General features: G+C 36.1%; 1 long non-coding RNA gene across 2 annotated transcripts; it reads left to right on the plus strand.

Annotated features, from left to right (window-relative positions):
* The first annotated feature begins 1,698 nt into the window (after nucleotides 1–1,698).
* On the plus strand, nucleotides 1,699–27,187 carry LOC102724439 (uncharacterized). Of its 2 annotated transcripts, XR_946297.3 has the most exons (4): nucleotides 1,699–1,830; nucleotides 18,864–19,015; nucleotides 26,164–26,287; nucleotides 27,069–27,187. It is a non-coding gene; the product is annotated as an uncharacterized LOC102724439 (long non-coding RNA). The 2 variants fall into 2 exon arrangements; XR_428810.4 differs by lacking the exon at nucleotides 18,864–19,015.
* The last annotated feature ends 618 nt before the right edge of the window (nucleotides 27,188–27,805 follow it).

Raw genomic sequence — 27,805 nt, forward strand, 5'->3', positions numbered from 1 at the left:
CATTATGAATTAAGCAAGATTTGTAACCATACTTACCCAGTGAATAAATAACGATATAGACTAAAAGAGAATGATAAATATTAATCATGGGATTATTCAACATATAATGGTAAAATTTGGAAGCAATGCAAATGTCTGTGAAATAAGCTTTACATGCTACATGAGGAAAGCTATTAATAATATTCAAATGTCCTGGCCATGTAATATGAATAAAATATTTAAAACAGTATTAAATCAGATCATTCAGTTAGATCTCAATGGATTTTGTCCCTAAAGACTACCCATGCCATTCAAAATTTAGAGTAACCAGAAAAAAAAGAAAGAAAAGAAATGGAAGAAAATAAAATTGAGAGTTGAACTGGGGAACAAGAGAGAGAAGGAATAAAGGAAGAAATAAAATTATTAAAAAGATAAAATAGGAAGAACATAATTACAAAGAGTGCACTAAGAGAGCTGAAACCAAGCCTCAGCCAGCTGTCTCCATAGTGTTCTCACCAGGTTTAATTTATCCGGGACTCATTGTAGTCACTGGCACAATTGCTGGCCAAGATAAGGGCTCTAAAATTGTGTGAATGTTGCCAAAGGCAGTGGAGTTTTGGAAAAGGAACCTCCCCAAATAAGGAAGAATGTAAGGAAAAAAAGCACTGTTTTGGTTCTTGCCAGATGAAAGCTACCTTTTCCCTGGCTAGACACCCTAGTATGATCTTACGTATGGGGGAAGCATTAGGTAAATAACAGTAGACAATTCAAGTGTAATGATAATGAATTTTAGGCCACAAACTGAGAGACACAATGAATCAAAATTCTTTAATTTTTTATTTTGCAACTAAATTTCTATTTTAAGCCCCTTCTCTGCAAAGGTATTGGAATATTTGATCTATTTCAGTTTATCTGCACTTCACAGCTTTTTCTCCCTATGCTGACTCTGAGTATCAAGGTATGAGAGCTCATCATGCTGTTAGTTCAGCTTTTCATTGTTCAGTCACTCTTTGTGCCCATCCACAAAGCCCCATTCTATTAACCACATCTTTCTATTAACTTTGTGTCATTTATGGCTACAAAGGTGTCTTCCTGATACTGCTGTGCCTTGCAGAGCCACTGGAAATATCAAATATCTGCAAGACTGCCTAAGGCCTCATTTTTCTAGACACATCACACAGCCACTTCCTCTTTATGGAGACTTACTACCTTTCCACAAATTCTTTTCTTCCCTGTATCCATGCATATGCAATGTGACTGACTTAGCTTTTCAATCCCTTGAATATGGTCTTGTAACTTGTTTTAGCCAATGCACATGTGCCAACCATGGTATAAGCAGAAACTTGAAACGTGCCAGCATACTTTTCCTGTACTGGATTGGAAACTTGAGACCATCCTGGAAAAGTGAATAAGCCTGAGCTAGCCTTTGGTCACCTTAACTCTTTACTCTAAACCAGGGGCTGGTGGGATTCTAGTCCCCTCACTAGACTGCATAAGGTGGACGGGGTTTTTTAGTTTTTACATTGTAAATTGTGCAGCATAGTTGTGTATTGAGTCACAAGGGTGCAGTACACATGGAAAAAGTGATGATGTTAGAGAAACCAAAAGTAATAGTAGGAAGTCCTAGAGAAAACAAGCAGCAATGGGGCTTAGAGCCTGAGTGTAATATCCAGTTAGTAACAGGGACAGGGATGTCACAATAGCAGTGAGAAAGAATGCTGAGAATGTGAGTCCAGTTGCATGCAAGTTGGTAGATTCGATGGTGGAAGAGAATTTTTCTTACTTCCGTGAGTTTTTCACTGAGAGTAAAGGTGGTCTGGAGAGAATGTGGAATTTGAAAGAAGAACTAAAGTGAGTTCACTAGACAAATGTAGAAGGGTGTCTGGGCACTTCTGAGTGGTCCTGGGTACTCATTTAAAATTTGCTGTTACAAATTAAAATGGAGTCCTAGTGGTAAGGCTGTGTGATTCCTCCAGACACTGGGAGCAGAGAGAGACAAGTAGGGAGGAAGTTAGGTTTGGGTAGTGCTGGAGTTTTGTGAGATTGTCAGCGGGTGTCAGGGGAAGGTGGAAAGACTTGAAAGTACATTAAACAACTTACTGCAATGATGGACCATGAACCCTAAGCTGGTTGAGGGAAAATGAGTACATGAGCCAGGAGAAAGTGGAAAACTTGTAGTCTAAGTGGGTTGGAAGTTCAAATGGAGTTAAATTTTTGTCATGGATGGAATGGAGTAAATGAGCATAAAATATAGAAAATGGTGATCACAGAGATTTGAAATTTAGGCTTTGGAAAGATGGTATAAATAGTACTGATAACAATGACTAAGCAATTAAGAGAGAATTGGGTAAAGTGGTAAAAATATGAGAGCCATTTACAACGAATTATCCCCATGACTGTTACTGTCCCCAAGAAAGATTGCAAGTTCAGCATTAAAAAAAAGTGACTACAGTGCTAAAATTGGAAGATTAGTAAACAATAACAATGAGAAGGGTAATATGGTTTGGCTGTGTCCCCACCCAATCTCATCTTGAATTGTAGCTCCCGTAATTCCCACATGTCATGGGAGGGACCTGGTGGGAGGTAATTAAATCACAGGAAGGGGTCTTTCCCATGCTACTCTCATGATAGTGAATAAGTGTCACAAGATCTTCTAAAGGGAGTTCCCCTACACCAGCTCTCTTGCCTGCTGCCATGTAAGACGTAACTTTGCTCATTTGCCTTCAGCCATGATTGTGAGGCCTCCCCAGCCATGTGGAACTGTGAGTTGATTAAACCTCTTTCCTTTATAAATTACCCAGTCTTCGGTATGTTTTTATTAGCAGCATGAGAACAGACTAATACAAAGGGATAGAAAGTGGCCATGTATGACATCAAACAGCAGGGGTTTTTGAGGGAGAAAAGAAACAACAGCCAGAATTACGAAACAGTCTTATTTCTGGGACTTGTGTTGTAAGGATTATGAGGATCAAAAAATACTGATGACTTCACAAAGCCTCAAGGGAAGCAGTGAATTCAGTAGAGATGCAGTGTTCTATTCATGGCAAGGAGAAGAAATAATAACTGAAAAGGTTAAAGAGACAGAATTTTTGTGATGCTAGAAGATTTTGAGGATTTTGAGAGTTTTGGGGGACTAATGAACAGTATAAATCCAATTACAGGATTCACACATTCACATTGGGGTAAAATCCATCTAGGTGTAGAAACAAGGAATTTTAGACTTGCGATGGTGAAGGACATAAGCAAGGACATAGGGAATGATTGGTTCTTTCCAAACTATTTAACACGGAAAGATAAATTATAAAAAATATACTCTTTTTGAGTTTAGTTGAAGTGGTGAATCACAGTCCTTATGATACTGTTCGTTTATCAAGAAGAAGAGCTAGATAAACACATTGTTTCTTACTACATCCTATTTTATAGCCAAGAAGAACTAGAATAAAGTCTAGTTAGTGCTAAAGAAAAGAAAAAACAAAGGGATCATATTCAAAAATGACCTTACAAGAAAACTTACATGAGGGGAAAGGAACTAGACTTTAGAACTAGACTTTAGTTCGAAACGAACTAGACTTTAGACTTTAGTTCTAAAGTCTCCTCAGGTTCTTCTTGGCTATTAAATAGCATGTAGTGTAAATTCAGAATGTATTTATTGTTAATAGAGCTCCAAATGCTAGCCCTTCAGAAATGAGTATGTGGCCATTGTATTTACAAAACTGTCTTAGATTTTGTCAGAGCTCTCGGAGTCTTGATGACTGAGATCAGTGGTTTCTTAATTGGAAATGACTGAGCTTTACTCTTCCCCACTTGGGATGAGTCTAGTTTCTTGCATTAAGGTAATGCAAAAGGAACCAACCTGGCAATAGCAGGGTGTTTCAGCAAAATGCCTCTGATGTACTTAGTGCAGTCTATGAAATTTAAAAAGGACCTTTAGGGATGTAGAGACTTTACATCTCTTTACCCTCCTACTTAGTACATTCATTTTCAAATGCCAATGTTAACACTTTTCCACCTGAACTTGCTAAAATTGTGCAGAATGATTATAACCTTATCAATAAAGTCAGAATTTTAAAAATGGACTGCAAGATTTAATTTTCAGATCCCATGAGTTTCTATTGATTTGGGAGTACACAGCCAGGAGTAGTGAGAAAGTAATCTGCAATTTGTATCAAGGATGCCTATTTCAAATGCCTTTGTGTTCCAAAGTTGTTACACTGCAGAAAAATAGGTAACACTGCTGATGAGAAAAACTCATGAAAATCTTCCTAGATAATATATTTTCCTAAATTCAGTTTTAAATGTGAGAATAAGAGATTCTAAATATGTGAACTTACATACTTTAAAAAAACAAATATAAGTAAAGCTGTAAAAAAAGGATCATATTCAAAATGGCCTTACAAGGAAACTTACACGAGGGGAAAGGTTTTTATTGTAATTTTGTCTTAGAATATGTCTTTTGGACTTTAAAATGCCTAATTATGACAACAAAGTGAGAACTAAAAAAAGGAACTATATGAAAAAAGAAATTTGCCTACAGTTATGTCATTGAACATTTCCACGTGTGCCTAATTTTTCACGTTCAACTAGAATAAAAGTATATGAGTAAACTTAGAGAATTTAAAAAGTATTATACAAATATTTCTTCAAAGATGGCATTTATTTGGTTTCCTCTACAATGTCTAATTTAGGTGTCTTTACTTCTAGATCAAAGGCAAAATGAAATGAGTGGAAGCACCGTGAATAGTGATGCTTTCTTACTCACCAGACTAACACAACTAGAGGAATACATAGGCAGCAAAATTATGGTCTATGCCAATAGAGAACTTATCCTGAACTTGCAGACAGAACATTTATTAAATGGTACATATAGAAATCTAAACGTTCCTCAGAGTTCCTACAGTTCAACATTGGCCAAGGAAAATTGGAGAAGGCCATGGGCTAGAAGGGAGGTTGCCTTAAATGAGTGAAGAGACGTGATCTAGAGAGGAGATGATTTTGAGCTCACAAACATGGACAAAGCAGATTTAGTCAAATACAAACTGCAATACACAAGGATGTATCATTATTTTTGCTCAAAGAAAAAGTTTGCCTCAAATTATACATTGTAATATGCATAGATTTGACAAAATATAAACATTTTCTCATTGATTATGTTATGTAGGAAATGCATTTTATTATTTCAGTTTCCAGATCACATAAGGACAATCAAAATTTCTCTGCAATCTCTTTTTTAAAAAGCAATAATATCTGTGTTTTATTTTATACTCTTGATTTATTGAATCCTTTGATTTCCAGAATGCAAAAACACAAACATCTAATATCAATTTTGTATATAGTTCTGGGTAACTACGGATTTACTAAATCACTCCTGGACTTACATACCAGGTTAAAAATTTCTATATTGCTACTCTGTAATGCATATTTTCTACAAAAAAATAAAATAAAATAATTCACAGTGAAATGGACAGATTCATCTCCCTGGGAATTAACATGTTTGTTTTTGTGAAGAGAGATCTACATTAATTAATATATTGTCTTTCCTTCCAGTAGCTTTCAATTTTTTATGGAGAATATAAGACATAAACTGACAGAATAATATGTATAAACTTGCGTATGTCCATCACCTAGCTTCGACAATGAACTCATGGTGAACCACATTAAATCTATGACCATTCACTGTTTTTCTCTATTATTTCGAAAAAAATTATATACCATGTAATTTTCTTCATAAGTATTTCAGTATGCATCTCTAAAAGACAAGGGCTTTGTTAGACATAAAAACAACACCATTATCACACCAAAAATAATTTAAAAATCATTTTCAATGTAATCAAATTTGCAGCTAGTATTCAAATTTCCATTGTCTTACAGAGTTCTTGCTTATTTTTAACATTTACTTGAATTAGGATTTAAATAATGCCCTGACATTGGGATTGCTCGATATATCTTTTAAGTCTCTTTTAATCTATATAATCTTTCTGTTTTTCGCTCTGTCCCTCTCTTGCAATTTATTAGTCAAATAAGCAGGGTAATTTGGTTTGTGGACTACTACAAAATGAGTATTTTGTTGATTGCATCTCCATAGTAGAATTTAACATGCTCCTCTGTCCTCTGTACTTCCTATAAATTGGAAATTAGATATAGAAGCTTGATCTGATTCAGGTTAGATTTTCTTTTTTCAATACTATTTTATAAATGATGTGTTTTTTTCATTAGGAAGCAAAAAATATCTAGCTATCTCTCTTTTTATGACATAGTCAGTCTTTGTTGCGGAATGTCTACACTCATTTCTTCAGTGGAGATTGAAAATGATTTAACTTAACCCCCCTTCCTCACCAAAGTCCCAGTAAACTTCCCAGGGCAGACAGACAGAAAAAAAAATCTCCTAAAGTGCATAATTCTTTAATACCAGACCTCCCCACCCCACCAAAAAAAAAAAAAAAAAAAAAAAAAACTTCTTGAATTCTACACCTATTGGTCCATTATGGCTCCAGGAATGTAAAAAACCTAATGCCATGAATCACTGTATGGGGAACAGATTAGGGATAATTTCAAGTTCACTGTATTTGAAGTATATGCAGGATAATTAATCAGGTGTTTGTTTCAATAGCTTCTTGATTCTTTAATTTTTGCTAACATTCACTAAAATCCCATCAGTGCTGGAGACTCGTCAGACATTTGCATATCCCAGGCAAGTGCGAATGAATGCTTTTCAGTAGCCAGTTAAGTTGCTGCTTCTACTGTTTTTCCAAGCAAGTTGACTGATCACAGGATCCTCTGGGATCAGAGTCATGCTGGTTCTGCTGCTGATATTCCCTATGACCTTATCTTTGGTTTTTGGTTTTGTGTGGAATGAGAGGTCCCAAAGAGTAGATGCTCATTAAATGTTAATCTCCAAATTAAGACCTTTCTTTTTTTTTGAGACAGAGTCTTACTCTGTCACCCAGGCTGGAGCGCAATGGCGCAATCTCAGCTCACTGCAACCTCTGCATCCCGGATTCAAACGATTCTCCTGCCTCAGCCTCCTGAGTAGCTGGGACTACAGACACGTGCCACCACACCTGGCTAATATTTATTTATTTATTTATTTATTTATTTATTTATTTATTTATTTATTTTTTGAGAGGGAGTCTCGCTCTGTCGCCCAGGCTGGAGAGCAGTGGGGCGATCTCAGCTCACTGCAAGCTCCGCCTCCCGGGTTCACGCCATTCTCTTGCCTCAGCCTCCCGAGTATCTGGGACCACAGGCGCCCGCCACCATGCCCGGCTAATTTTTTGTATTATTAGTAGAGACGAGGTTTCACCACATTAGTCAGGATGGTCTTGATCTCCTGACCCGCCCCCCTCGGCCTCCCAAAGTGCTGAGATTACAGGCGTGAGCCACCGCGCCCGGCCTAATTTTTGTATTTTTAGTAGAGATGGGGTTTCACCGTGTTAGCCAGGATGGTCTGGATCTCCTGACCTCCTGATCCACCTGCCTTGGCCTCCCAAAATGCTGGGATTACAGGCATGAGCCACCGCACCCTGCCTGAGACCTTTCTTAATTCAGACATTTCCACTTCTGAGATTCCCTTAATGGAACACAGAAAAGTACATTAGGGAGGAGCCAATGTTAACGGGCTCGTTTACAACCACAGTACACAATCTGCTTTGCACAATACCTACTACATGGTAGTAAATCATTACTCATTTAGGAAACGAATGAAAATTTTAGCCTGTCTGCCCCTTTTAAAATATACTTTCTAGCAAAATAGATCATCCATGGGATTTTTGTTTCCCAAAACCCATGGGAATTTGTAGTAATTACACACAAAAAAATTCTCCTTCCGTAATCTCTTCTCCCACAGTTACCGAATGACTGGGACACATTAAACAATATGCAGTTCCCAAAGATTATCTGATGTTCTTAAATATCTATACCTTTGCAAATTCTGTCATCCTTCAAAAACTTCTCCTAACCTACCTTTTTTCCTGCTCACCTAATTTTTAAGACATGCAGCTAAACAAGCATTTATTAAATGGGCACAGGCACATTGAGACACAGATGAGAACAGGTTGGACCCCTCAAAAAATCTGCAGCTAAGTCAGGGAAACAGACATGTAGACAAAACATGTAATGTGTTGTGATGCACGCCAATGTAGAGATTGTTCAGTGGTGAAATTAAGGGGGCAAATTTCAGCTTGTGAGGCTCAGGAAAGATGTTTTTGAAAGAAAAGAAAAGAGAAAATAAAAAGAAAAGAAAAAAAGAAAAGAAGGAAAGAAGGAGAAGGAAGGAGAAGAGAGGGAAGGAAGGGAAGGAAGGGAAGGAAGGAGAAAGAGAGAGAAAGGAAAGAAAGAAAGAGAGAAAGAAAGAAAAAGGAAGGAAGGAAGGAAGAAAGACAGACAGGAAGGAAGGAAGGAAGAAAAAGAAAGAAAGAAAAAGAAAGAAAGAAAGAAAGAAAGAAAGAAAGAAAGAAAGAAAGAAAGAAAGAAAGAAAGAAAGAAAGAAAAATGAACTAGGTGTCCACTAGGCAGATCAATGTTGGAGGAAGAGAATTATAGTCACAGGGAACAGCATGTGTCAAGGCACAGAGGCTTGAAACAGCATGGCACAATTGCTATGACTGAAGAACTAAGAGGCATTTTTTTTAATGTATTTTTAATGAATATCCACAGATGGGCAGAGGCAAGGACAGGGGATACCTTACATAATGTACTAAAGAGTTTGGAATTTATCCTACAGATAAGGGACTAATGATATTTTTTTAAATATTAGGTATGACACTGCTAGATTTGGGTTTTAGAATGATCATTTGGTGACAATACAGATAATATACTGGAAGTAAATTAAATAGGAGTTTTTGAAATTAGTTGGAAAACTATATGGGAGTAACTAGTTTAAAGTAACTTCATTTAAAAAGGCTTTTTCTCATCTCCTGGCATAGGTTGAGTAAGGTAGTCATATAATTTATAATTGCAACCAGGATTCTTTCCAGGGTGAAATCGGGTACCAACAATAATTACTCAAGAACATTTGAAGTAAACCAGAATTCTCCCAGGTAAAGTGGGATATACAGTGATCTTAAACTTAGGGTCCCTTGAATGTTCCAATGGCCCATTTGTTGAATGTTCATATTACTATGTTTTGCAGTTGTTGTTTTCTTGCCTATTTCTCCAAATAAACTGTATGATTTCTGAAGACAGAGCTGTCTCTCACTTTATTTCTAGTCCCTAAGGTTGTACCAGCTAATGGGAGGCTCCCAATAAATGTGTCTTAATTGAGTTTGACAGTGAATGAATTGAAATCCGATTCAAATTCAAATCAGGATAGTTGGTATTGGATTGCATCCCACTAAAAGAGAATTTTTAATGTTAGGATATTTGCATTCTTGCCCTTGGTTACAGTATATCTCTTCACTAAATGGCCTCAACTTCTCCAAGACCTCGGTTTCCCATCTTTAAAATGAAAGTAGATATTGCTGACTTTCCATATAATACAGAACATCAGATAGGAAAAGAATGTTGTATAGATAAGAGGGTTAATGAATTTTTTCCATCCACTATGTTCCTACAACTTTGTTTCAGTTTTATTCTCCATAGCCATTTGTACAAACGTAGCGATGCCTTCTGAATATTAAAAATCAAAAAAGCCTTGGGGAAAGTTTTTTTTTCTGAATTTTGTCCTCCAGCTCCCTACCAATTTTTTATTTTGCTAACATGGCCAGAATGCCTTACATTTTCTTACAACTTTGAAAAACATTAATTCTAAAAACTCCAGGAGCTAAGCTTTTTATTTCATTGACACATATTCAACCAAAACTACAAATTAATAGCATCATTACTGCTATGTCTCTGGCAGAACCAGAGTTCCGCATAGTGTTTCGCTTCACAGATAAAGCATTTGACTTGCAAGAAGACTACACATGCTGATCCCTGCCCTGCTGTGTTCTCAGACTTTGAGAAACAAAGGTCCCTTTTCAAGCCCACGAGTTATTTCTGCTTTTGGAGAATGTTTTTGTAATACTATTTTGGTGCTGGGTTTCATAATATCCTAAGGTAGCTTAAATTTGATGGGCCTGATGAGGTTAGTTCTAATGTTAAAGCTATTCCAAATAGACAGGAGGAAAAAAGTGTGTATTCACTTTAAGCACAACATCTATATAGAGAATAGAGGTACCATTTTAAATATCCCTGATATGGTTTGGCTATATGTCCCCACCCAAATCTCATGTCAAATTACAACCCTCAATGATGGAGGAGGGGTCTGGTAGGAGGTGATTGGGTCATGGAGGCGGACTTCCCTTTTGCTCTTCTTGTGATAGCGAGTTCTCATGAAATCTGGTTTAAAAGTGTGTAGCACTTCCCCCTTAATTCTCTTTTTCCTGCTCCCACCATGTAAGATGTGCCTCCTTTCTGTTCATCTTCCACCATGATTGTAAGTTTCCTGAGACCTCCCCAGCCATACTTCCTGCACAGCCTGCAGAACTGTGAGTCAATCAAACCTCTCTTCTTTATAACTTACCCAGTCTCAGGCAGTTCTTTACAGCAATGGGACAACGGACTAATACAATCCCCATTTGATATTTTAGCATGACCTAACATCATATGAGCCAATAGTTTTTCCCACCATACTTTCCAACCTTTGGTTTCGATCTGTTAAAAGATAAACTGTGGCACATGAAAAATTTAAAGAGTTTATTTGGGCATTTGGTGATTCATGAATTGGTTCACACCAATTCAAATGCAAGTGGTTCAGCATTCCTCTGGGAATGAGGGGCAGAGAGGGCAAGAAAGTAAACTTGTATAAAGTGTTTGCAGAAGCAAAACAAAATACTTGATTTGTTAAAGTGGAATATCCTAAGTTAGAGGTTAGTCGAAGTCTCTGATTAGTTAAGCTTAAGTTTCATTTTGTTTTACTGTTTATATTGAGCTTCAGTTTGCTTACGTAGGAACCCAAAATGCCTAATGACCTTCCAATTAAATTTTTTTTTTTTTTTTGAGACTGAGTCTTGCTCAGTCACCTAGACTGGAGTGCAGTGGCACGATCTCGGCTCACTGCAAGCTCTGCCTCCCGGGTTCACACCATTCTCCTGCCTCAGCCTCTGGAGTAGCTGGGACTACAGGTGCCCACCACCACACCCAGCTAATTTTATTTTTTGCATTTTTAGTAGACAGGGTTTCACCGTGTTAGCCAGGATGGTTTTGATCTCCCAACCTCACGATCCACCCGCCTTGGCCTCCCAAAGTACTGGGATTACAGGCGTGAGCCACCATACCCGGCCCCAGTTAAATTTTTTAACAGATCCTTTGCTTATCTTTGGTGATTAAATTTATTTAGATAGCCATAACTTCATGGTATATGAGTCAACAAATATTGATTACACAGAAATCCTGGAAATTAAAGCAATAAAATATATCTTATATGGTGTTGATTTATTTTGGTTTTTTGTTTCCAATAATAGCTTTTCTGTTTTGTTAGATTTTGGCATCTCTTCATACTTACGAACTAACCACTTTTCTTTCTTATTTGGCCAGCTGAAAATGATGCCATAAGAATCTTCTATCTATCTATCTTCCTTACAGTGTTTAATCCTGTGTGGTGATAATAATCATCAAACACTCTTGAAACTGGCAAAGAAAGGACTGGTCAGCAATAGTACAGCAAATTATTATTTACTAAAAAGGAGGTTGGGTTGGAGATCTCATCCAACCTTAAAATACATCAAAATTGTTCTAACGTTATTGCCAACTAGGTAGCCAGTTCTAAGCATCTAAGGACTTTGCTTGCCTGCAGATCTATTACTTATTAAGGACAAAAGGTTTTGGCTCAAAAAATCCTTATAAACTTCAAAGACAAGATTCATCGCTTCCTTATTTTTGTGGCACTTAAAAAGAGGATTAAGTCCTCAAACCTGTCCCCTCTCACAGAACTAAGGATGTGTAAAAGTATAAAAATCCTATCTTACATTTCACAGCAGGAACAGGGACAGGAGAAAAGAAAGGAGGAATTTTAAAGGCATCCTTTTAAAAGTATATTTGTATTCACCTGCTCAGATATTCCCTGCCCAGTGCGGTAATTTTTTCACATTATCTTATAGGCATGGATACAGAGGAGAGTGGTAGATAACAGTCTTCATGACCTTATGCTTTTCCCCACTAACCAGCAATTGCTAAACACTTATACTGAGGAAAGATTTGCACTGCCTAGGAAAAAAATCCCATGAAATTAAATATTCAGTCCCTGACCTCATAAAGCTTATGATCATTTGGGCAATATACATGTACACACTTCAGATGTTTTTTAAAACTTGTGTTAAAGGTCATCATTCTTAATCAGGTTGTCTTCTGTTTAAATTATCTGCATTAAATTGATGTATAAGTGCTGAAAATCAGTACTTTTCAGCCAGTAGAGTCACTAAGACAAAGAAGAATATTGAGATCCATAAAGTCTTGATTCTAGCTTCCTTTGCTCTGTCCCAGAAAAGCTGTGAAACCTCGGGCCAAGTCAATTCTCTTCCACGGCCTCAGACTGTTATCTAGAGGAGCATGGGTTGCATTTTTGCTTTCTTTGAATTCTAAAAGTTTATGGTACTAGAGGAAAGAATTCATGGTATCAGAGAACAATGAGTATTTTCAGTCAATGTCCAGGCTACCACTATGCATTAAGGTCTTTGTAGGCCACTGATGAGCTCCTTCCCCAAAAGTAGGAGTGGTTATGAGAGGTTAACTATTCCTTCACAGTTTGGATGTACATTAGGATTTTCTTGCATTCCACAATATTTCTAGGTGCTTACATTTCAGTTGGTATTAATGAGTACAATTCCTGACCTCAAAATAACTGGACAAATATTTCAGAACTTAGTCCACATTATTTCCTCAGGGGAAGCAAAGACAGGTGTCCCACGGGAGAGCTGACCTTGAAATTCATCTCTGCTTAGACAACATTTCAATATTTTAAATAGATCCAAAATGCAAGCAGAAGGGGTATTTTCATCTTCCTTTACCATGTGTAAAACCACACACCTCTTTAAAAATAAAAACTACTTTGGAATCCTGTTTGATGGCTGTGGATGCTGATTAGCTCTCTGTGGAATAAATTTTGCTTCAAGTATATGAAAAAAGTGCTTATAGTCACTAATGAGAACTCCCATATAAGAATGATAAAGATCCCTGTTACATTCTGTCCAGTGGCTGCCAAAAGCCCAGGCTGTGTCCTCTGAAGTCAGAGTTTGATATTCCAGACTGAAGCCTGTAGTAATTTAGACAAAGTGTTGGAAATGATCTCAGCCATTCTAATACAAATGAGTTTAATTGAAGCATTTGGTTATGGGGTGAACGCAAATCAAATATTGTGAGATGTTTCAATTATAGTTATTGGTTCTCTTGAAAGAAAGGTTTCACATGCAATAATTTCATCCTGTGCTCCATTTGCTTCTCTGCGCTCTTAGGAATGCTGATTCAGTGTCAAGTTTCCTTACTATCACAAGGGCTAATTAAGGCTTACTTAATGGTGGTGCAGACAACATGCACTATTTTAGTGCAGTAAGTGATTAACTGAGTTATACACGGGGTCAAAGGCCTAAGCTTTTATCTCTGGTGGTGGTCCTCAACCTGGGAAGCACAAGCACAAGACAGTTCACTGGCATAAAGGAAGAAAATATTAGAACTAACATATTTGTATTTATGTTTACTTTTTTAAAAATGTAAGCTTTACTCATATATATGTTGCTTCTGTGGTTATTGTTGTGGTTACTGTTGTTTTGGTTATTTATCATAGTCAATAAAAGATGTTTTGATAGAAAAAGTGACTTTAAAACTCACAGTTTAATAACTGACACTTCAGTGATACAAGATGATTAGGTTCTAGAGATCTGTACAGCATCATGGTGAAGTTAACCATTCCGTATTGCACATAAAAATTCTTTGGGTAGATCTCCTGTTAAGTGTTCTTAACACAACAATAATTAAAAAGAATAAGTTAGGCAGTTTTATGGGAACATTAGTGAATATACTAGTGGATCATCACAAATAATAAACTAGTGACTCAAACATAAAAGAAACCCGTACATGCATTGGTTACACAAAAAAGAATTTTAAATTTCAAATGGTTTCTTATTCAAAACTGTTACCCACATATTTTTAGATAAATATATTGTACATTATGTGCTTACATGTAATTTTTAACAATTTGAATTTAATATGTGAAAACATTTTCAATAAAAGAAAGCCAAGGTAATCATTTCTCAGCCTTTTGGCTAAGATCAAGTGTAAAAGAAATTCAAGTATTTTTTTTAAAAAGAGAATTATTAACAATATCCTAAAATTATTTTCAACTTTCTACAATTTATATGTGTCCCATTTATGTGTCTAGTTAAGACAACTGACAGAAAATATACACTAGTTTTACTAACCTTCACAGAATGTCTACAAAGCTTAAAAAATTAATAGACAGGCACCATGGATTGAAGAAAATATTCTTAATACAAGCAAAAGTAGACAATAAGAAAATGATTAAACTTGTCATAGGTGAGTCCTTCAACAGCTATTGCATAGAAAAAGTATCAGTTAAGTTAGCATTTACAGAAATGATAGTTTAATAATGTCATTTAAAAAATAAAAATAATTGGCCTATAATCCCAGCATTTTGGGAGGCCCAGGCAGGTGGATGGCTTGTGGTTGGGAGTTCAAGACCAGCCTGGCCAACATGGTGAAACCCCATCTGTACTAAAAATACAAAAATTAGCACGTCTGTAATCCCAGCGACTTAGGAGGCTGAGGCAGGAGGATCACTTGAACCCACGAGGCAGAGGTTGCAGTGAGATGAGATCATGCCACTGCACTCCAGCCTGGGCAACGGAGCAAGACTCCATCTCAAAGTAAATAAATAAATACAAATAAAAATAATTATTGAAACTATAATAATGAATTTCTCTAAAAGTGTTCTGTTGAGAGAGCATTTTGAACATGGATTTTAGAAATATTTTTGTTTGATAATTCTGTTGCAAAAATTAATGTATGTCACTGAAAGAATTCCTCTCACCAGTGCATTCTTTCTTAAAAGGTAGAAAACTATCCAATCTACTTAAAAATATCCAAAATATATTTAATGGATTTCAGTCATTTGCTTAAAATAATTTGTATTAGTTTATTAATAATAGGAATTAATTACTAGGAATGATCAGAGAAAGTGAAAAATTACTAAACTAATTTTGAGAAAAACACATAATTGGTGATTGAGACTAAAAATTGAGAAGCATCTCTTTTAAACCTAAGTTCCAGGGGTCCAAGACCTACAACTGATTTTTTAATAGCTGTATTCTTAGGACCTAGGACCAGTCATGAATCCTAGCACGTACTATTAAATTAAGTTTAGACTAACTCTGCCTCTTTGCATATTTTAAGTTCAGCCTAAAAATAATTTCTCCATACATAAAACCACAACCTAACTGGATATATAAACAGACTATAAATTACTCTTGTGCCAATCACTGAGTTTCAACCAATCAAAGTCAGTTGACTAATCCCACTGTGCTCAAATAAGGCAAATGCCAAGGAATAGCCAATCTGGCTATTTCTGCACCTCACTTCCATTTTCTGTATGTCACTTATCTTTTTCCATCCCTAAATCTTTTTTCACTATTTGACTGTGCTGGAGTCTCTCTGAACCTATTCTGGTTTAGGGGCTGCCCGACTCACAAATCATTCTTTGCTCAATTAAACTCTGTTAAATATATTTTGTCTAAGATTTTTATTCTAACAATACTCAATAAATATTTGTGAAATGAATGACTATCCCTACACTGGCTCAATAAACTACAGGACACCCAGTTAAAGTTGAACTTCAGATAAACACCAAGTTGTTGTCGTTTATTTTTAGTGTATGCCCTATGCAATATTTGAGACATACTTACGTGTTAAAAACTATTATTTTTCTGAAATTTAGATTTTATTTTGTGTCCCATATTCTTATTTGCTGAATCCAACAATGCCACCTCAGAATTTTTTGAAGTTGTATGGGGTGTTTAAAATAATCTAATGTTACAATTCGACATGAGATGTGGGTGGGGACACAGAACCAAACCATATGAAAGGGTATCAAGTTAATTCCATTTGTATATAAAGTATGAAACTCCTAAACAGATATATTTGTCAAGTCAGCCTTGAAGCACCACCAATCCCTAAATCCCTAAGAATTTGTCACTCTGAAAAACAATACTCTTGTTTTCATTTTTGCTTAGTACCACTCTTAAAACAGCAATGTTACTACCACAAAAGAGGAAAAGAAATTAACTTTTAATTTCCATCTTGAAATGATATAAAAAAACTTGAAGCAGACCATGCTACTCTGAGCAATTGGATAAAATATCAAGCATATGTAAAAGCATCAAGTTCAGCTATACAGAAAAAATGCTTCATGTACACAGGAGATGAAATTGTGACTTCCTAGGCATAGCGCTTGGCACGCAGTTGGATACTCATAATTAAAGTTGGACCCTCAAAGGAAAGAGATTAATATTTTACATTAAGATATCCCAAAACCTAATACATTATGATACAACCAAAGGTTAAATTCTCAATGAACAACAGTGATCCCTAGGCTAGTAGGCTATCAGGTCATGCCCAGATTCTTTCAAAAGAAACCATTACCTCTTTTGTCCTTGGACCTTAAGTCTGAAAAAAAAAGTATTTCACCCTAGTCTCTATCATCCCATATACAAATTTTCTTTGATGTTCACTTCAAGTGCCATCGTCTTGTCCATGATACCTGAGCTGAAGCTAGAGCAGTGACCATCATTCTCATTCCTTTGCAATATATATGACCTTATGATAGTTCTTCTTCTGTTATTTAACCTTAAGTGCTTGTGTCTTCTCTCTTCAATTGTGCCATGGAGGATATAAGCTTTGTGCAATCCAACAGAGAACTTTTTGTCCAACAGAACTTTCTGTATTGAAGAAAAAAGTTTAAGTCTACATTGTCAAATAAAACAGTTGGTGGCCACAGGTGCTTGTGAAGCCATTTAGAAACTAAACTTTTATTTACTTAAACATTTTTTTTTTTTTTTGAGACAGAGTTTCACTCTGTCGCCCTGGCTGGGGTGCAGTGGCGCAATCTCGGCTCACTGCAAGCTCCGCCTCCCAGGTTCATGCCATTCTCCTGCCTCAGCCTCCCGAGTAGTTGGGACTACAGGTGTCTGCCACCACGCCCAGCTAATTTTTTGTTTTTTTATGTTTAGTAGAGACAGGGTTTCACCGTGTTGGCCAGGATGGTCTCAATCTCTTGACCTCGTGATCCACCCGCCTTGGCCTCCCAAAGTGCTGGGATTACAGGCATGAGCCACCGTGCCCAGCCTACTTAAACACTTTTAAAGTAAAAATTTTACTTTTACAATTTTTATTTTACTTTATTTAAAACAATTTAAGTCTAAATACACTCCTGGGCCTAATAGGTATCATATTGGTCAGCCCAGATCTAGAACATCTGACATAGCTTCCTGAATGTAGTATTTATTTTTCCTTATTTGTCTTCAAAGGCACAGAAAGACTCATTCAACTATTCTCCAAGTCTCAATGATGCTCTATTTTACAGTTGGATGCCACTTACTAGTGAATTCATTTGCTTAGTTGAAAGCTGGTTGGCTGCCAAGGCACTGATCACTTTAGAAACAAGAAGTCTTACTTTCTCAGGAATATTCTACCATTTTTAGCTCTAAATTTTTCACTGGATAGATGACTTACGGGGAAATGTTTAATTCTAGGTTCTCTTTTGACTCATAATCCTGACTTTCACCCTCATTTGTTGACCTTGCAAAAACATTTTAATATCTACCACTTCAGAAACATTTAATTAAAAATTAGAATATGGAACAGTTACATACACACACATTTATATACATAGTAAACTTTTTGAAGGCATGACTCAGTGCAGAATACCTGGACCTGTTACAGGATAATAATGATAGCTACATTGATATTCCCACACCAATTGACTGTTATCAAAACAAGTTCACATACCAGTGAAATTGGAGAAAGGTGAGAAAGTGCCACAAGCAAGACAGGGTAAAATGGCATTTAATATTCATCATTTTAATTTTCCAAACGGAGAAATCACACAGATGCAGATATTGGCATAGGAAAACTTTGAATGTACAAGCATGAATATTTTAACAGTAGTTTTATCTAGATGGTAACATTTCTACTGGTTCTTTTAACATGTTCATGAATTTTAAGTGAACTAAATTATAAAAATTGAATATATTTTTTGTACAATGAAAACATTCATAAAAATAATGAATGCATCTGTACATGTTCCAAAAGATTTGGATATTCTGATATTTTTCATTTCACTGATGCTCTGATTTCAAACATTAACACCTTAGACATATACCTCAATGAAGCTCAAATAGTTTCTGGTCATTTGTCCTGAAGAAAGCTTTTCTACTCCTGTGCCTTAGAATCCATCATTTCACCCAATATTGCCAACTGTTTGACCTTTTGCTGTTCCTCATCTCACATTTATGACCACTCCCCGCATTTCCAGGAAGCATAGAAAGAGGATAACAACCCAAAAGAAACTATCACAGTGAACTACAACAGGAAAAAATACAAGGAATTAGGGATTCTGAGTACTGGTAATAGCTATGGCATTAAAAAATACATTCGTCAGTTTATTCACTAGATTAACATTTACAGAGTGCATGGAAAGTATCCGACATATGCTAGGTATCCATGCTGTGATGGTAAGGGGAAAAGACAGTCTCCTGCTACATTGTTTGACCATGAGAAGTCATTTTACTTTTCTCAACTTTGGCTCTCTTTTCTGTTATTTGAAAGGGTTGGGAGGCTCTCAGCGGCCCTCTTTAGCTATACATCTGTGGATTTACAGCTTTTTCTCTCTGTTAACTTGGAAGGGGGAGAATTTTTCTGTACCCACCCTGAAGCAATCAAACAAAAAAGATTTTGGAGAAAAGAGAAGGGGAAGAAGAATGAACAACTGAGAGTTTTTCAGTACTGCTGTGTGCCCTGTGTGAGCTCACTACCATCTCTAGGAATTGCAGCAATGGTAATGATATTTTTCAGTTAATAACCTCATAAATATATTTACTATTTCTTGGAATCCTAGCTATTATTGGATCAATTTATTTTTATGTATCACATGCTATTTGGTGTCTGGCTAGGAAAATGGCCAATGATATCTAGGAATGGGACTACATATCACATACTGCTTTTGTGCAACTGTCCTTGTATTCCAAGATACAATGGCTTCAGTTACATACACACGTCTCTAAAACCCTGTGTCTTTTGTTCACCCACTTTCATATGATCTTCCACTTTTATTGCTCAGAACATCCATGTGATTGAAAGCATGGTTCTCACACAGGTCATTAAATGAGTTTCTCCCTGCTGATAACATCATTAACAGAGCCAGATTGCTTGTGTTGCAGTGTTAAGAGTTCATGGTTATAAATACATGTCTCAAGGGATCAAGTTAATGGTATGAGATATTAGGATGTTGAGCAAGGTAGGGAACGACGGGAAAGAGTCACACACGAAAAAATAAGTGAGATACTGCAGAGTCTGGTAATCTAGTCCCATTATAAAGGAACTATAATAAGTACACAATCATGAAATTTAAAAGAAAACGCAATGAGAAAGATCTTCCCATGACTCTTCATAGTTAAGTGTTATATAGTCTTTATGCAACATCGAAAGGATTAAGGAACCTGCCATCTTTAAGGAACGTGTTAAGTAGATCCTTGTGTGCAGATGGCGGACTTTAGTTAATAGAGTTGTGCCTTGCAAGACAGCTGTTTCATGGTGGGCATTACTTCAGGGAGGTTACTGTGTAGAGACAACTTTCAGGGCATTTTGCTTTCTGATGTGTGGTGTAATTTCCGTTAAAGCCCAATTAAAAAATCTTCAGTAAAGCTGTACGTGATTTTTTTCAAAGCTTTTGAAGTTGTTATGTACTCCTTTGTATCACTGTGCTGAGACCAGATCATTTCTACGATGAGAGCAAAACTAGCCAGTTTTATTTAGATTATCCATTAATTTTGGTGAAGTGGAACAATGAAGTAGTAGGTTTCAGTACTGACTTTAAGTTTAATATGCAAAGCTTACAAAATATCTTTCCTATTACTCTCAGAGCAGCAATGATTCCTGATCTGAAATTATATGCAATCAATTCAGAAAACTGATTTTATTATTACCATCTGTTCCTAGGGTGTATTGGAGACAGTTTCTGTGCCCCAAATCTAACGATTTCAAATGATTCTGGACCAGCTTACATATATCTCTCCACCCTGGTGCACAGAGGGCCAAAGCATCATTATTACTGTCATGATTGTTATTTATTAATTGTAATAGCATAAAATTAAATAATGTAAAATAATAATTAAGAATATTTAGTTTCAAGAGAAAAGCATATTTTTGTGCCTTTCAATTTAGGTAAAATACTTTCAACCTTTGAGGTTATTCAACCAGTTTAGAGGATCTAAAACATACTTTGTCACTTTGCCATTTTGGACTTTTCTTCTCTACTAAGTACACCAGTACTTTTGGGAGCCCTTTATTTGGCTCACTGAAGATGCATCTTTGCTTATTTTTGGAAGTGATTTTTATAGCCAAGATTTGATATTTTGCGTGGTTTTTCACTGAATGTCTTAACTATCTGAAAAGTTCTGACACATTTTCCTTAAAACTTTTGTCTTAGGAAGCCATGACACTGGAAAGATCTCACAGAGGCTTTGGGGTTTTACAGACCTGAGTTCAAATTCTGATTTTAATTTTAAAATATCAGTCAAATTGTTTATCTTCTAAACTATAAAATTGAAGTATATTACTTCACTTCTATAAGGCTCAGTTTTCTTGTAAAACAATGCTTCTTATAAAACTATTTTTAAAATCTTTTTTATTTTTGTGGTACAGAGTAGGTATATATATTTATGGGGTACATGAGGTATTTCAAACAATGCATTTTATAAGAATATTAAATACACATGTAGTTTTTTGAGAGGTACATGTGCGTTTATGTGTGTATATCTCAAGAAACGATATGTTTCAAGAAACTATGCATATGTTTTGGTTGTAAGATCAAATTCTTTAAATCCCAAATACTTCTCACACTGTTTGCAAAAGATAAAATGTTGGTTTCCTGTTTATCTGATTATATGGCCTTAAAACTCTAGTAAAATTATCACCTTTACAGTCTGGGGGATATTTCTCTTTCAGTTAAGAAGAATTCAGGGATTCTTTGTCCTTTTGGTAAAAAAATTACTCTTCTCCTGAAAAGAAGTTGCACAGATGTCTAATGATCCTATACTTTATACTGGCCAATATACTCTATTAGCAGCTGAGATACCCTCTATTTTTTTCAGCCAGAATTGATGTATCCTTCCTGACGTTTTGTGAGATCACTATATACTGCAAAATAAAAATATGTATTTCTTACTTCTGTGCACATAAGGCTACAGGCATGATTCTGATCTGATCCTCTGATAGGGCATTTAATAATATTATTACTTCACTGATCCAGACCAACATGTACCATGGTCAATAAATAAAATGAGGTAAAAATGTCTGCTCCTCTAGTACCTGGTCGGGTTCCAAGTCTGCAATAATCCAGAGATGAGTAACCAATTGTCCAAATTAGGACAGGGTTGGGAGAAGGAGCCTAGAGGTGAGGCATTGAGAGTAAGTAAATGAAGGTAACTAATGATGTGTCAGAAGGTAAGGGACAGACAGTTGGAAAGCAAGGGCTGGAAGAAGTAGAGAATTGGATCGACTCCCTGAAGCAAACATTCAGATATTCACGACGGCTTTATTTCATAGGTGTCTATAATCCTGGATGGAGTCTTGGGGGAAAAGTTAAAGAACCTACACTAAACAGAAGACACAGACACTACGCAAACTTAGTAAAGGGGTCTCATCCAATTCTTCATGCTATTCATCTAAGCAAGCATTAATTCAGAGTCTACATAATGTCCATGGCTATGGATTTCTGCTTTTAAGAAAGCCAGATCCAACAACGCAAATGTATTTTATATTTATTTCACCAGTGTATAAAAGGAAATCACTGATGCTTTGAAGGAGAAGCCACAGACCTTCCATCTTGGCTTGCCTACAAACAGCCTTTTATGTACCTTTTTTTAGCAGTCACACACTGACTCCTCTAATGTCTTTTCACCATAGTCCTAGCTACTGAAAAATCCCATGTATTTTCTAAGATACTGTGGGTCCATATGCTCGAGTGCAGCAATTATTTTCTTTGCTTCCGGAGGGATTAAGAGGTAGAGTTTTAAAAGGCAAATAATTAAACATAAAAATGTAACATTATGATCTGTATTTAAGGAACAACAGTGATGTTCATTTTACAAATTACAGAAAACAAAATGTAACAAAATCTGTGTAGCTGGGGGAGAGGCAGAGTTTTGTTGTTCCTGGTAAGTGATGGATGATTACCATATTGGAATCTGGAGAAAGGCTGCATTCTAGCTAAGGTTGAGTTACAATTGGATTAGAAAAATATTCCTGTTAGGATACAAGAAGAGGAAGTAGAATGTTTGCTGGCAGTTTAGTAATAAATGTGCATGCCTCAAGAAAGTGCAAATGTTTGTCTTGTGAAGATATAGTCCCCAGGCCCCATCATTAAATCAAAACCCCAATCAGGGCATCAGCTGTGCCACCATCTTGTGATACTTTAGTTAATTGGTTGACCATTCTTTTTCCCCAAAATGAATTGCCTCTAATAAGCAAGATGGGCTGAAGGCAGTTTTTAAACTATCAAAAAGTGATTTTCAGTCACTATAAGTGTTTTGCTTTAGAATTTAAGAAACCCTTCCCTGCTGGCATTAATATACTTGGGCTTGTAGAATCAATGGTGCTAAGGGACAGAGGATGTGCTTTGGGATTCTCTACATCTGGGTTTTGAATCCAAACTCTCCACTATTTCAACCACTTCCAGTTAACTAATGACTTCACCCTGGGCGTAGTACTCACACTCCATTACCTTATTGTTCTGTAAAATGAAGATAAGAATGCCTACCTCAAAAAATTTAATCATACATGTGATAATAAATTTAACATTGTCCACCTAAAAGATGGCCTGAAACATACCACCAGCTCAATAATGTGCTCTCCAATGTGGATCTTAAATTCTTGAAGGCTAAAAATATTACAATGGGTTTTAAGGAAACCTATGTGGACAAGCAATGCTAATGAAAAAGATATTGAGACAAACTCTCCCTGGAAAAAGGCAATGATAGCGGTTTTCATCATTTTTTGTTGATTTATTTAAAGACTCCATGAGAAAGAACAAAATAAAAGCATTTTTAGAGTCTTAGGCGACAATATATTTTAGAAAGATTCTATCCGTGATAAGTTTTGGAAAGAGAAAGAAAACTCTCAGGCTAGGAGAAATGCAATAGAAATTAGAAGAACAAATAAACAGAGAAATGGAAACTGAACAATTTTGTAAAAAGGAAGAGAGAGAAAACAAAGAAAAGCAAAAAAGGAATAAATGGCATAGCTAAAATATTAGGTTTAATGTCTTTATCAAGCATTAAAAAGTAACCTGTGAGTTATAATAACAAATATTCACCTAAAATTCTGGGACCTTATCCAAGCTACTCTAAAATTAGGAACTTAAGGAATTTCGCTCATTACACTTCCTTCACAAGTCTTTAGTAAGGGAAAATAATATGTTACTATTATTTTTTAATCTCAAAATGAATCATTTAAAAGTGGCTCTCCAAAAACAGATTCTGCTGTCTCAAATTAAACAAGCTACTGAAAATTATTATTTTGAGACCTACTTATGCCCTTGTACCAATTGTTCTGTTACAGAAAAAAAAATTTAAATTTAGGATAAAATCATTTTGGGGCCTTTTTTGGTTTTGTGAAACCAGGTGGCTCACAGTGTAAAAAATAACATCCATGTCCAAAGCTCCTTTGAGAATTGCAGACAAGAACCATAGGATGTTAGTGCAAAAGGGATCTCAGGCACTTGTGTTTTATGGATTAGGTCACTGGAGCCCAAAGAGGCAAACCATTCTTTCATGTGGGTGCTCTGGTCAAAAAAATGTAGCAAAGAGAAGCTAGTCAAGTTAAAACAAGCAAACAAACAAAAAAAACAAATCTGAATCATAGAAAGTAACTTTATTGGAATTATCAACACAATCAGCCTTTGGAAGTAAGAACTGTATCTATGCAAATATGTGTCTGAGTATGGGCAGCAGGCATTGTAGATTGAGTGAAAACATTTGCTTCTCTGCATGACTCTGAATAGAAATAAAGGAAACACTGATTTTTTTTTTTCCTCCATAAATGTAGAAAATGCTTGACTAATCTCTGATTGCTATTTTGCCCCCAAAGTCTTGCCTATTATTAGGTTTCTTGGCAAATCAGATTCTTTCATTTGCAGTGGCTATAATCACATGAATTACAGGTTTCATTTAGACTCATCTCACCTCTCCCAGTGGGAAGTATCCTTCTCTCACTTTCAGCAGACAAAAATAATGGCTGCCAATATGAATGAGGAATCAAGAATATTCAATTACACAGCTGATCTCTGTTATTCGTGAACATTTGAGGACCTTGCACCTTGCTCAGAGCTGTGTCCTGCTGAAAAATTTCACTGTGACTGTTTGATTTCTAGAATGTCCTTTTGGGTAATCTGCATGCTGATAGTTATCAAGCCCTGTTATAACCTGCATTCTGTCTGTTATCAGAAACTACACCTTTGCTTCTCTAGGCTATTAATCTTCATGAGACCTTAGAATTTCTGAAGAGTATTGAAACTTGAAGCCAGCCTATAGGGTTTAATGAAGTTTCATTTCCAGTTTATTTCGACAATGCCATTTCAATTCTGCATTCTAAATGTTTACACAAGAAGCTTAAGAAAATACTTTTAAAATCTAACCAGAAAGGTAGACAACATGGAGAAATCACATCTGTACATATAGAGGCCATACTCATTAAATTGTTTTGAGGATCAAGAGAAAGAGGAAAGAGGGAAAGGAACATTGATCTGTATAATAGATGGCAAGATGGGACTCACCAGTTCTATCTTGACAGTTGAAGAACTTGATTAAGTAACTTAGGGCACAACCTAGGCATCATCTTCTCCAAAACACTGTCCCAAATACCTTCCAGTCCAAGCTTTAAACTAGGTTAGGTGCTTCTATTGTTACTGTTTTTTCTTAACAACAATAGTAATAATAATTGTCTGGAAATAAAGAATGAATGTTTCAGGGCTTACTCTATGATGAGCTCTGTAATAAGCACATCCCATGTATCATCTTATTTAGAGCACCCGCTAAAAGTGATGTTGTTTTCAACAAGTTACAGATAAGAAAACTGAGGTGTTGGGAAGTTAAATAATGTCCCCAAGATTACAAAACTAGTAACTGGCTAAACTTGGAATTCAAATTCAAACAATATTAGCCCAGAACAAGTCCTCTTGCCTAATCCACTCTGATCTATACATTACACATTCTTTAGAAGAAGAACCCTCTTCCCATTTATTTTTGTATTATTCAAAGTCTGTGAAATGCTTGGCTCATATGTATTTAATATTTGCTGAAAGAATAAACAGAATAATTAGAGCAATCTGAAATGCTAACCAAATCTGTCTCATGCCAGTGTTTTTCACACTACACACCCTCTAAAATCAATTTTAAAACAGACTTTAAAAAGGGTACATGCTATTCAAATATAAGGTATTAGCAGAAGTTAGAACATTCACGTAAAGGGATGCTCCTGAGTTTGGTTACGATTGGATCTCTTTTTAGAGAGCTATATTCAGTTAGGGGTTGCTTTAGCAAGTTGGATTCTCAACAGTTCTTAAGGGGGCAGAAATCCAAGCATGGCTGCTCCATATGCATGAATTTGAACAGAAAGATTTAGAGAAAGGTTGTGGTGGAAGAGAAAGTATAGGGAAAAAATGAGAAAATATGAATGAGGTGGTTTGCTTTCCTTATGTAACCTGCTGCTTGTTTTATTAAGCATAGGTCTTCTGCAATATGAAATAGTTCACAAAAGTTTTTAAATAGCCTAAAAATTTAAACACTTAATGATGGAGAATTGTTAACCTAAGCCATAATCTAAAACCAAAGAGAAGGGTTCCTTTAGCTTCTAAGACTTTGAAAGCATTGAGAGCTGAACCCTATGGGACAGTAAAGAGAATCACATTTTATGTCTGTATTTTTACAGATATCCTTAAGGCATGAAAGTTTATCCTTTCACCAGAGACTACAATTAATATTTCAAGGCTGAATTAGATCTGCTCACCTAAAATGGAACAGAAGGCCGCAAGGAAAACATTGTCAGGAGAAGGGTATGTAAAAAGACAAGTTACTGCCTAAAAATGCACCCTTAAAAAGTATGAAAACCTTCAACTAGAAAGGAAAACATGGCGGACTTTTACCATAAAAAATGTAATAGAAATTCCTGTCAGGTCTCTTCTGCCTGTGGTGAATATTTAAAGTCTAGATACAATATATTTCTTTTGGAGATGGACTATCAAATCACTTGAGAGTCTTTGAATATAAAACACAGAACCAAACAAATCCAAAGCATAATTTAAGACAGTCTTGCCCCTACAGCCCAAGTTAGTCTTTCCACATCATCAACTTTACCTAAGGCCCTGGTCCATAGAAAACAAATCAGATATTTAAATACCGTTCATGAGGAAAAAAATAAAAAATTTCCCTCCACTCTCCCCTGTAGACAGATTACTAAATGGAGTTCATATATTTAAGAAACATTTCAGAAATAGTTAGAGAAAGCTCCAGTTATAACCTTGCTATCAAATAACTAGGCTAAACCATTTTAAATTGACTATATTGAAACTAAAATAACCTTTATTGCTATACTTTAGGTGTTTGTCCCCTCCAAATCTTATGTTAAAATGTAATCACTAGTATGGTAGTGTTGGGAGGTAGGACCTAGTGGGAGATGTTTGGATCATGGAGGTCGAACCCTCATGAATAGATTAATGCCCTCCTGGTGGGGTGAGTGAGTTTTCATTCTGTTAGTTTCCATGACAACTGTCTGCTGAAAAGAGCATGGCACTTCTCTCTCAACTTGCTCTGCTCTCTTGCTTCCTTTCTTGCTAGGTGATCTCTGCACAAACTGGCTCCCCTTCGCCTTCCACCAAGAGTGGAAGCAGCCTGAGACACCCAGTCTTCTAACCAGCAGATCATGAGCCAAATAAACCTTTTTTCTTGACAAATTATCCAGTCTCAGGTGTTCCTTTATAGCAACACAAAATGGACTAAGACACCTAGGCCTTTTTATAATTAGAAACAATGTATTCACCCATGTGAGCTGGAACTGCATCTGTAACTGGTGTTGGTAATCCAAGACCCATGGGCCAAATCTGGCCTGCTAATTGGATATGGCCCTTGAGCTAAGAAGGTTTTGTTTTTATGGTTTTTTGTTTTGTTTTGTTTGCAGTTAAATTGCTGAAAAATATTTAAAAGAAGAATATTTTATGTCTAAAGATTATGTGAAATTCAAATTTCAGGGCTCTTAAAGTTATGTTGGAACACAGCCATGCCCATTCATTTATGTACTGTCTATGGCTGCTTTCACTCTACAACAGCCAAGCTGAGTAGATAGAATGGTGTTTGGCCCATGGTGCCTAAAATACTTACTATGGTCTTTTTCAGAAAAAGATTGTGGATCCTCAATTTATGACATTCCTGATTTTTCGGACAACACCAATTTCACATATTATCATCTATTATGAGTATATGTGTCCTAATCATTTGAAAAACATGTACTCTAGCTAGAAATCCCCATCTAAATAGTATAAAATGATTCAACTCTCAAAATAATCAAGTCCATGGAA

This window comes from Homo sapiens, chromosome 10 (genome assembly GCF_000001405.40).
Source record: "Homo sapiens chromosome 10, GRCh38.p14 Primary Assembly".
In the NCBI taxonomy this organism is placed as follows: Eukaryota; Metazoa; Chordata; class Mammalia; order Primates; family Hominidae; genus Homo; species Homo sapiens.